A 12556-nucleotide genomic window follows, 5' to 3' on the forward strand; every position below is an offset into this window, starting at 1 on the left:
CACATTTCATTCTGGGGTGATGTCCTGTGCAGACCAAATAGGGCACCTTCTTCCCAAGACCATGCTGGAAGCATCGAGACAATGCTGGGCTTCTGGACCCATTCTCTTTACACCTTAAAGACCACCCCTTCTGCCTCCCCAGCCATTCCTCAGACACGGGCCAACATAATGAATTAGGGAAAGCCCATGAGGCCACCCCTGGAGATGTCACACAGTGCCTGGGTATCTCCTTACCATGCATCTTCAGCATGGGGCTCAGCAGGGAGGGATGCACATACCTGCACCTGCTGTATAGATTGAGTCTCACCTGGCCTTCACCTAAGGCATAAGGCTACCTGCTCCCCAAGTCTGCTGACCATGGGCTCCAGGGCCCATGGATTTGAGTCACAGCTCTGCCACATACTGAGTGGGAAAATTGGAACAAGCCACTTCATCTCTCCAAACTGCAGTTTCTTTGCCTGTCAAATAAGGATCAAATAATAGCCACCTTTCACAGTTGTGATGGTTGCATGAGATACATATTTTTTGACAGCCCCAAGCCTCACCCTACATATAGGATGTTCAATAAAACACCGAATGGACTGTGTGACATGTGTGATGTTTGTGGTGGGAGAGGCAGAGGGGATGGACAGCATGGAGATTAAGAGTCTGCATTTTCAGGTTAGAAAGGCCTCTGTTTGAATAGTCAAGTACTAACTGTGTGGCCTCAATTTCCATAGCTATAAAATGGGAATGGGAATCCCTTCATCACAGGATTCTTGTAAAGATTAAATAAGCTAAGTGAATGGAAGCCATTACTGTGTATCTGTATGTGTATGTGTATGTGTGTGTAACCTGGTGAATAGATGTTGTGTTTGTGTATTTGTGTGTGTGATAATATCGTTAACATTTCTTGGGTGCTTCCTACATGGCAGGCACTCTTCTAAGCACTGTACTTAATTCACTTGAATTCTCACAACAATCTGAGGCAGACAGTCTCTCATTTAACAGATGTGGAAGTTGAGCTGTAGAGTTTACTTATGTTGACCTCACTGAAGGTATCCATAATCCTTCCATTTCTCCTCTGATGCTGCTTTCCCCGCTCTGGTGCCAAGAGGTGGGAAGAGTAGATGCAGCCCCTAGCCCTTGGTGGAAGCCCAGGGCTCACCTTGTTCATCCCCCAGGAACCTTATGTCCTGGGGAGCTCCATGTAGGTTTTGGGTGTGAAAAGTGGGAGTAGACGAGCAGAAGACACAGGGTTGTTGTCAGTTCTGCAGAATCCCAGAGCCCTGGAGCCTTGAGAGGTCGGTATGTCCACTGCCTATCCTTGAGCTCTGGCAGGACCAGGACTGACCTGGTGTGATTTCCTTGTGATTTGCAGAATACATCCAGGGACCTGGTAAAGTCATAAAAAGCAAGGCTGTCATGCCCTGCTACCCAGTGATTCCTTCTTAAGTGCTCACCTTAGAGAAATGCTTGCCATGAGCACCTGGAGACACCAGCAGAAATCTTCACAGCAGTGGTGATCATAAAACCCCAAACTGGGTGAGCAGGGTGGATCAGAGCCACTTTGTGGACTACTACACTTACAGCCATATGAATATCCTGCAGGAATCTTAGAAACAAAGTTGATGGAAAAGTTGCTAAATACATACACTTTTTTTTTGATTTACAAGAAGCCACTGACTCTACATTTTTAAAGAAAACAAGGGAATGATAAACCTAAAATTCAGAGAGTCACCTGTGGCAGGGAACGGGGGCCCCAGTTAGAGAGAAGCACCCCAGAGTTTCAGTGGCTTCAGAATGTTCTAGCTTTTAGGTTGATGTATTAGTCCGTTTTCACACTGCTGTAAAGAACTACCTGAGACTGGGTAATTTATAAAGAAAAGAGGTTTATTTGATTCACAATTCCACAGGCTTAACAGAAAGCATGACTGGGAGGCCTCAGGAAACTTACAATCATGGTGGAAGGCCAAGGGGAAGGAAGCTTGTCCTACCATGATGGAACAGGAGGGAGAGAGAGAGCAAAGTAGGAAGTGCCACACACTTTTTCTTTTTCTTTTTTTTTTTTCCTTTGAGATGGAGTCTCACTCTGTCACCCAGGCCAGAATGCAGTGGCACGATCTCAGCTCACTGCAACCTGTGCCTCTTGGGTTCAAGCAATTATCCTGCCTCAGCCTCCCAAGCAGCTGGGATTACAGGCATGGACCACCATGACCAGCTAATTTTTCTATCTTTAGTAGAGATGGGGTTTCATTATGTTGGCCAGGCTGGTCTCGAACTCTTGACTTCAAGTGATCTGTCCACCTCAGCCTCCCAAAGTGCTGGGATTACAGGTGTGAGCCACTGCACCCAGCCACCACACACTTTTAAACCATTGATCTCATGAGAATTCACTCACTATCATGAGAACAACAAGGGGGAAATCTGCCCCCATGATTCAATCACCTCCTGCCAGGCTCCTCCTCCAATACGACATGAGATTTGGGTGGGGACACAAATCCAAACCATATCAGTTGGGGTGGAAACACTGGTGTTTGTTTTGTTGTCTTCATAACTTATATATTATTTATATATATACTATATATATAGCTTTTATATAAATCGGATTAAATGAACAGAATAAAATAAATGAATTTCTTATTCTTTTATTGATTTTTGTTGAGATGGAGTCTTGCTATGTTGCCCAGGCTGGGGTGCAGTGGTGCCATCTCAGCTCATTGCAACCTGCGCCTCCTGGGTTCAGGTGATTCTCCTGTCTCAGCCTCCCAAGTAGCTGGGACTAAAGGCAACTGCCACCATGCCCAGCTAATTTTTGTACTTTTAGTAGAGATGGGGTTTCGCTATGTTGTCCAGGCTGGTCTTGAACTCTGACCTCAGGTGATCCGCCCGCCTTGGCCTCCCAAAGTGCTGGGATTACAGGGGTGAGTGCCCACGCCCAGCTTGCCTTATTCTTATATAGCATTAGACAAGCAATTTCATATGATAGTAACAACCAATTTCCATCCTGTTTGTGTTGAGTTCTTACCATCACATTAGAAATGGCAAATATTCATAGTATTTTTTGGACCAGGTCCTGTTCTGAGCATGCTACATGTATTAACATATTTAACCTCCATGCAAATCTATGAGGTAAGTTACAATTATTATCTACATTTTGTAGCTGAGGAAACTGAGTTAGAGAGGTTATTTTGCCTGAGGACACACACCCACGCAGGACTCAAAGCCAACCTGCTCTACTCTTGAGCCTCCGTTCCTAGCCCTTGGGCACCACAGCCTTTTGTGAGCCCATAGTTTGCCTTGATGTGCCTGTTTATTCCTCACACTGACCCTCTCAGGAGTAGGTTATTATCCTGTCTTCTAGATAAGGAAACCAGGGCTTACAGTTACATGCCTGTTCTATGTGGCCCTCTGCCTCCAGCAGGCGGGGAACACGTTCACATACCACTTCCCTCTCCTCGCCCATGGCAGATCCAGCTATCTGATCAGGGCACCCACTCAGGCCCTTCTCCAGGATGGTTGCTATTAATCCATCAGAATCAGCCCACACCTTGAAACCTATTTGCCACTTCTTCACCCTAAATGACCTCCACTCCTGCAGGTCCTCAGAGACATTCCCAGCACTATTACCTGAAAAGAGCTCAGACGGTCTCCCCGTGTCTTCCTCCACTGCAGTGTCTGCACCGTCACCTGGGTGTTCCTGACCCTGAGGGGCTGGCCCTCCCACTGTTTCATGCTCCACTTCTACAATAAACCAAAACTGGCCTTGAACAAGTCTCTGATGCCCCATGCCTCAGTTTTCCCAAATGTGAACTGGATGAAAGGCTACATGATCTACCCCAAGCCTTAAGGAACAATAGCTGTTATCTGTGTTTTCTGCTCCTGTCGGAGAAAGAAGTCAGTTAAATACCAGGCCCGTTTAGGGACCCATTTCTGAAGACTCAAGACTCTGGGGCACTGCTGGCCTCATCCCCCATGAGCCTTACATTACATTTCAAGCAGCTTGTGATGGCAGCACATTGCAATAGATATTAATTGCTACATTAAATTCTATGATTTTGCTTAAGAGAATGTTCATTTAATTTCCCTGCAACTGTGGTCAACCCGATCTTTAATCGAAACTGACAGGTGCAATTTCAATCAGGTAGCAAACTTCCCTCTCTTTAAAAGAGCCAAGAATGGCATGAATATTAAATGGGTCAGGACAGTTGGCAACACTAATACAGCTTAAATCAGAACAAGCCTCAGATACAGCTTTTAATTATTCATGCTCTCCTGGTAAGTCAGGCCCTGACAACAGTGTCACTGGGAGTTCAGGAAACTTCCTCAACGTGACATGAAAGACAAGGGGGGAGCCAGGGTGGAGACAGTGTGGCCCAGGGTCCCAGGTCAGGCCCCAGATGTCTGAGGGTAATCTGGCTTGGGGAATAGGCTGGAGGGTTGTTAAATTAAAGATGGACACTACTTTTTAGCTGCTCCTCCCATCAATAGGCAGAATCTATTTCCTTTCCCATGGAATCTGACTCTTGATCTATTTTGACCAGTGGAATGCAGCAGAGGTGATGCTGTATAATTTTCACAACTGGATCCTCAGAGATCTGCAACTTCCACATTCACCAGCTTGCAGCCTCTGGCATCACTGAAATGCTGTATGCTAAATGGGGGAGGGACAGAAACAAATATAAAGAGGCACAGACTGAGATAGAGGCACAGCTAGAGAGAGACAGTGGCATACAAGAGAGGGAGAGGGAGGGGGTATAGAGAGAGAGAGAGAAACTTAGTTAAAAGAGAGTCATGTGGAGGCAGAGCCAGGAGTAGCATCAGAGGCCTGGGGAGACAGACCAGGGGAAGAAGGGACAAGAGGGAGAGGGGCAGATCAGAGCCTGCTCAGGGACCTGTCTGTGAGTACAGGAAGACCACGGGGCAGGGGTGCAGGTGGCACTAGTGTGGGGCCCAAACCAGCAGAAGAAAATAGAAACAACTGGACATGCCCAGAGATTGTTGCCTGGGGATGGAGGGTGGAGCTTGCCTTGCAGGAACCAGCTCCCAAAACAGCACAGGCTCCACTCAGCACTGCCTGGGCTGAACCAGGTGTATAAATCACTCAGGGATGGGAAACACTGATGTGTGGCCTTGGAAACAGCACCTGGCAGGGGAAATGGGGGGAAGGATTGTGAGGGGCCTGAGGGCAGACAGACAGAGAAGCAGACGGGACTGATCCGAGACAGCCAGGGAAGAGGCAGAACCCAAGAAGAGACGAGAGAGACAGGTGGAAAAGATAGGAGGAAAGACCAAAAGATGCTGCTGGAGAGGAAGGCACCAAACGTGAAAAAGATGCACACCCAGAGGTGGACAGAGGGAGACACTCGGGGAGGGCACAGGAGGTGAAGATTCAGAAAGAAAGACTTGCCTTGCACACTGACCTTTGAAATAATGTTTGCTGGGAACTGACTGTTCTCAAGAATAACACATCCTCCTATGTGTAAAGCACTTACAGTCCACCAGGCACTTACCCATCCATTATGTTCTCTCCTCCAGCCCCCCCAGCAGCCTCCCCAACTCTAGAGGAGCATTCCAGAATATTTATGCCCTAAAAGCACAGATTGATACTGAGTCAGGCCACTTGATTAACCCAAATCATCAATTATCAGGCATTTATCTAAATTCTTTCTCCCCAGCCCTATTGTCAGCCGTATTGTCAACCATGGATGGATGCCCATGGTAAGGTACAAAGAGCATTGAAGAAGGAGCCACTTCGAACCCTTGGAGCCTCAGTTACTCCCTCCATCCAGTGTAATGTGACAACCCTGAAGGATGCTGGTGAAGCCCAACTAAGTTCACCCAAGTGAAAGCATAAGCCCTGTGCATATGGGAGAAATTTTCATGGCCCCCAGTAAAAGGACACCTCATTTGTAGGTGCTCTGTAGAATTTGGTAAAGGGTCCCTGGATTGAAGAGTTTGCCCCAAATCTCATCCTCCCACAGATTCAGCCCTGGCAGGGTTCCCTTCTGCTTCCAAAAAGATGAAGTCTGTCTCCTGATCCTCCTCCCTGCTGCCAAAGCCTCTGGGGCACCCAGGCATCCCTCCTTGGTGTGGCTGAGATTTGCATCTAGTCTCCTAGGCTAGCTGATCTCTGACCGGAGGAGAAGGTAAATGGAAAGGCAGCCCAGGCTTCCTGAATGTGTTTGCCCTCTGCAGCCCTTAATATTTACACATGCCGCGGAGGAGGAGGTAGCTGTCTTAGAGCCCGAGACTGGCATACCAGCCAAGGAGGAGAGCAAGCCTCTGGCTGGGCCAGGTCAGAGGAATGTATGAGGGTTTTCAGGTTCAGCATCTCCTTCTCTCTGGGTGAGCAAACATCTCTGTCACCTCCGAGGACCACCAGCAAACCAGGTGGGCCTGGGGAGGCGGGCAGGTACTCTGGCCAGGAGTACCTGCCTGGGCCATTTCACCCAAAGGACCAGTCCTGGTGGAGGAAGAGTTGGCACAGTGCAAAATGAAACTGTGGGGTCCCTTATTCAAAAATATTTAAGAATTTCATGATGGCAAGAGCAGAATATTAAACCATGCATGGGGACCTTCTGAGTGTGGGACTCTGAGTGTGACTACACAGATTATAGGCCCACAAAGCTGACCCTACCCTATGGCAACAGGCAAAGGGTGATGATAGAGGTGTTTACAGAGACTGTGGGAGTGTTTCAGGAGGACCAGACCAGGGACTAGGAATGTGGTATAATATAGCAGAGGAGAGGATTGAGCAGATCCTAACTGTTGGACCTCGGGCAAGTAACTTAACCTCTCTGAGCCTCAATCAGGACAATAGCTTATGGGCCTAATTAAATTATATACACAAAACAGTGACAAGGCTGGGCACAGTGACTCATGTCTATAGTCCCAGCTCCTCAGGAGGCTGAGGCAGGAAGATTGCTTGAGCCCAGGAGTTCAAGGCTGCAGTGAGCCAAGATGGTGCCACTGCCCTCCAGCCTGGAGGCAGACTGAGACCCCATCCAAAAATAAAATAAAATAAAAAGCAGTGACAGTGCTTGGCACACAGTAAGCACCCAGTAAATGATGATTATTGTCCTTTTTCTGACAACTATGAACAAAATAAAACACACACAGCCCCTTCCCAACCTCTCCTTCTGAAGGTTAAATGATGCATTGACTAAGCCACATAGCAACCTGACAACCACACAGAAGAGACAGCATCTGTCTGCCGGAGGACTTTTCTACAGTTTGAACTACTTTAGACATTAACCAATGTGAGGGAATGATGTAAGACGTTGGCCAGAAGTACTTCATGCTGTAGGACCGAAGATAGAGCCAACACAGACCATTCGGTATTCATTTGTTTAATAAATATTAACTGAGCACCACACACTGTTAGGTGGTTAAGACATGACTGAGAAGCAACCAGCATGGTTCCCCACTCTCATGGAACACACAGTCTAGCATTTCCCACAGCAGAGACCAAATCTTGCTTTAATAAAATAATCATGATAATTGTAACAGTATTAGGGAACGTTTTGTTGAGGACTTGCTATATGCCAAATGATGTTTTATTTGCATTCTCTTATCTTCATCCTCACAACAGTCCTATGAGGTACAGACTCTAGGACTCCACATTACAAATGGAGAAATGAGACTGAGAGAGGTCAAGTCACCTGGCCAGGGTCACAAGACTAGATAAGAGGCATTCACTCATTCAACCCTCACATGTCAAGCACATCTTCTGTGTTGCACTCTGTGCTTAGGGAAACCATGGTGAGCCCCACAGATTTTGCCTTCACTCTGGTGGGGAATATAGACGCTGAACAGGAAAATAAATAAAACAAGATCATGACATGCTTTAATTAAAGCAAAAATGAGGGAGGATGCTAAAGTAGAACAATAAGAGGTCTGCTTTTAATGGGACATGGATTGGTGCTTAGCACATAGAAGGCACACAGTAAATATTTGCTGACTAACTAAATGAAAAAGGAGGTCACATGGTATCATTTCTGACACCTGAAGAATGAGAAAGAGCTATTCAAGCATGAAGTGGCCACTCCAGGTAGAGTGAACAGAAAATGCAAAGGCCCTGAGGTGGGGAGAGCTTGGCATGACGGAGTAACTGCAGGGAGGCCTGTGGGCCTGGGGTACAGCAAACAAGGTGGTGAGTAGCATGCGATGAGGTCTAGAAAGTCAGGCAGGGGTCAGAGCCCTGGAGGCCACTGGGGCAAAGGAGTTTGGAATTTAGCACAAGGGCAAAGGGAAGCCAATGAGGGAGAAGGGCACAGTGACACGATCCTATCTACATGTTAAGGAGATCATTATGTGGGCTGGGGAGGGGGAAAAAATTAAAGATGGAGAATAGTATTTGGCTGCTACCCCCATCAATAGGCAGAATCTAGTTCCTTTTCCCTGGAATCTCTCTTGATCTATTTTGACCAATACAATGCAGCAGAGGTGATGCTGTGCAATTTTCACAACTTGACCTTCAGAGATCGGCAGCTTCTATGTTCACCACTTTGGACAATAGTGCCCAAAGTTTGGAATGCCTCCCATTGACACTCGGCTGCCCAGCTGCAAGAAGCCCAAAGCTACATGGAGAGGCATGTAGAGAACTGAGGCTGTCCTGGCAATAGCTCCGAGTTTCCAACTTCCAGCCAGCGCCAGTGGCCAGCTAGTAGCATCAGATGACTCCAGCCTGGTCAACACTACATGGAGCAGAAGAACCAACCAGCTCAGCCCAGTCAACCCACAGACTCTTGAAAGAAAAACAACTGTTGTTTTAAACCACTGTGTTTTGAGGTGGTTTGCTACATAGCCATGAGTAACCAAATCAGCAAGAACAAATCAAAGGAGGGCAAAAGCAGATGCTGAGATAAGCTTTGAACCTAAAACTCAGTGACTCCAAGACCCTGCCCCTATCCACCATGCTCTGTAACACCAAATTCTCTCTGATTGCTGATGCTCTAGTTTAACTCTCCTGCTCATCTGCCTGCCTGCTTGCTGCCTTTCAGATGCAGGGCCTATTCTCCTGCCAGCTCTGACTTCCCCCAGCTGTCTCCTGTCCTGACCCTTCCCTGGGAACCCTGTGTGGCTGAGGCCTATGAGGTCAGAGGGGCATATGGGGATTCCTGTCCATCTTGCCTTCACCACCCTGAATGCATCTTTGGTCTTAATCCCAGAGTCAGTGCTGGCCTGGAGGGAGAGCTTCTTCCCTCCCACAGGCTCTAGGGAGCAGGCCGCTGCCCCACTACCTCTCCGCTGCACTCATACATGACTCACTGACCTTTACGATCCTGAGACTTGATGGGCCTGGTGTTTTATTAACCTAATAAAAAGGCAGCCTGATTCAGGGGCTTAACATTTCTGGAGAGAGGAAGGCTCTGCCCCCCGGGCATTGGGAGGAAGAAATACTGTCTTGGGCTGAGCTCCCCAGCACTGTTCTCTGAGACTTCTTGCAGGGAGGCAAAGAGCAATTCATTGTATTCCCCATCAAACAGCAGCAGCAAGCCACAAAGCTTAATTTAATTTTGTAATCAGTAGAAGCACAGGCAGAGGAAGACTGCTGCTCACTGTTTTTTCCACTTTGCTTTTTAATAGAATATCTGACAGCACACATAATACAGTGGCTTTATGCAATAAAGGACGTGCACGCACACACACATATATGCACATGACGAGGCAGCTGCAGGAAACTGGAAAGAATCTGGGATTTGGAGGCCAAAGACCTTACTCTTGCTCACTTTACGGCTTTCAAGTAAGTCACTTCACTTCTCTGTGCCTCTTTAGCTAAGAGTATTTTCCTTATTCTTCTCAGATTTAGTGAAAATACCTAATATTTATTGCGGCTTAATACAAGTGCTAGGGAATGTGTGAAGTGTCTCATTGAATCTTTATAACAAGTCTACAAGGTAGTTAATGTTATTGTCTCATTTAAAAAGGAGAGGTCTGCGGCACAGGAGGGTTGAGTAACTTGCCCAAGGACACACAGCTGGTAAGTGGCAGAGCTGCATTTCAAGAGGGTCTTTAGTTGCAATCAACAGAAGCTGACTATAGATGTTTAAGCAGGAAAAAAAAAAAAGTCATTGAGAGACTGATGAGTGGTCAGGGGACCCAGCTTGATTCTGAGCTTCCAAAACCATAGCACAGAGTGGGCCTGGTGAGGAAGCCACCTCTCCACTGGGAACTGGCCTTTTGTGCCACTGCTCTTGGCTCCAGCCCTGATGCCACTTCTCCCTTAGGAATTCCACCTTGTAGACTTGCCACCCACCAGAGCCAGCAGGCTTGACTGTTCCATTCAAAAGCAAAACTCATTCCAAGGCAACCTTCTTTCTCAATTTTCCCACTCCTAGAGACAGTCCCAACAAGTGAGCCTGCCTGGTGAAACCTAGGTCATCTCCGACAACTGGGCTGCAAAGGTGGCTGCGACCGTGAGAGTTCTGGGTTCTCCCTGAGGACACAGAACACATGGGCCTGGAAGACGTCCAAAGATAGGAGGGTGGCCAGAAAGTCTATACAGCCAAAAGCAGAGCAAACGCCCACTTCCCACTGGGATTCACACCAGGCGGGCTGACCTAGAGCCTACTTGACTGGCTTAGATGAGATGATGGTGTGAAAAAGCTCTGTCCAATATAAAGTTCTTCTGGGGGCTGGGGGTGGGGGGTGCTTCACTGTGGTGGGAGCTGAGGGAGAGACTTAGGTTAGTGGTCAGTAAGTGACCACTGTCTTACCAAATGGAGTGATTTGCATTCAGATCACTATCACATCAGGTTAATTTGTGCTCAAGTGGCTCACAGTAAGTGATAACATGGACAAGAACTAGGAGGGAAGCCCTTTTAGTATCATCCATGAAGATGCCTTTGTCCTTGCCCCTGGATGTAGCCTGCCATCAGTCACACAGAACTACTCATCCTCTCTTGTTCTTTACCACCTTAGTCCCTTTCCACCTGATTTTCTACTGCCCAGAATGCCTTTCTTTTCCCTGCATGGCAGGCTTTCATGCATTCTCAAAATAAAAATAATAATATCATATATGTGTATGTATACACACATATATGCTTTTTAATATATATACTTTATATATATACATGTATATGCTTTAAATTTTTTTCTATGTTCTAGACACTGCTGTAAGTGTTTTATATATGTAAGTTCATCTAATATTCATGACAATTTTATCGCTATTTTACAGAGGAGAAAATGCAGGAACAGAGAGGTTGAGAGAGTTGCTTTATGATGCACAGCCAGTGAATGGAGATGCTGGGATTTGAAGCCAGTCACCCTGGCTCCAGTAGCCCTGCTTGCCACCACTGTGCTATGCGTCCACTCAAACGTCACCCCCTCTGTGAGACTTTCCAAAAGGGCTCCAGGCCCAGTCCAAACTCCCCTCCTCTGGAATCCCACAAGGCCTGGCTTCTCCCCTGTTCCAGCAGGATCATGTACTTTCACTTCAATGAATCCTTCACAGGGCTCTGCCTCCCCGCTAGACTGTGAGGCCAGGACTGAGTGTGTGTTGTCTGGTTTGTAATCTCTGAGTCCCCAGTGCCTCACTCAGCCTGGTGCATAAGGGATGCTCGGTGCTTGTAGAATGAATGAGTTTGTTGAACAAATACATAATGTCAAAACAAATTGTGGCAAGAAGGCTTAAATTCCTGAAAAGAGGAAAACATTGTTTCAAGATGCTCTTGTTTCCTAAACCCCCGGACACCTGGACACTCACCCCTTGTGGGGAGGAGAGTCTTCGGAGGGCCTTGCCAGGTGTCACTGTCCTCCTGCCCCAGTGGAGCAGGCGCCCTTAATGGCAGCCACACAGTAATTCTTCCAAACCATTAAATAATTGGGAACTTTTCATTAATTAAGCATGGTGACCCTATTAATTAATGAATTAAGAGGAAGGAAAAAAGGAAAGAAAAAATGATATCAACCTTGGTTAAGAGCTTACTTTGACATATTTCTTAAGTGATTTTCTTTTCTTTTTTTTTCTTTCTTTCTTTTTTTTTTTTTCTGAAACAGGGTCTCCCTCTGTCATCCAGGCTGGAGTGCAGTGGCATGATCTTCACTCACTGCAGCCTCGAACTGCCCAGGCTCAAGTGATCCTCCCACCTCAGCCTCCCAAGTAGCTGGTACTACAAGCACGTGCCACCACACCCAGCTAATTTTTGTATTTTTTGTGGAGATGGGGTTTCATCACATTACCCAGGCTGGTCTTGAACTCCTGGGCTCAAGTAATCCTCCAGCCTCAGCCTCCCAAAGTGCTGGGATTACAGGTGTGAGCCAGCGTGCCCAGTGGTTTTCAAACATTGTCTTTGGGACAGTGGCATTAGAATACCTGTGGATTTTTTTTTTTTAACTACAGATTCTTGAGCTCCTTGCCATGGAAATTTGGTTTTGTTGGACTAAGTGGGGCCCAGGACCTGCCTTCAAAGGTGATCCCTGGGATATTTCCCTGCCCGGAAAGGTTCAGGAACCCATGCTTTATATCATATTTTCCACCAGAATAACATGAAGAGCGCATCTTAGTCCCTCTATAGGTGATGCTGGAGATGTTACATGCTTTTCCAAGGTCAGCAACTAGTGAGTGGCAGGC

At 47.0% G+C, this 12556-nt stretch overlaps 1 annotated feature.

Moving 5' to 3' along the window:
* Nucleotides 481-650: an enhancer, noted in NCBI's record as "experimental_7663 CRE fragment used in MPRA reporter constructs". NCBI's record gives its function as "activates a minimal promoter by MPRAs in K562 erythroleukemia cells, with activity observed for both the introgressed and non-introgressed 1:37580435 variant alleles {active_cell/tissue: K562}" and the evidence as "EXISTENCE:reporter gene assay evidence [ECO:0000049][PMID:34662402]".

This window comes from Homo sapiens, chromosome 1, assembly GCF_000001405.40.
Source record: "Homo sapiens chromosome 1, GRCh38.p14 Primary Assembly".
NCBI lineage: Eukaryota > Metazoa > Chordata > Mammalia > Primates > Hominidae > Homo > Homo sapiens.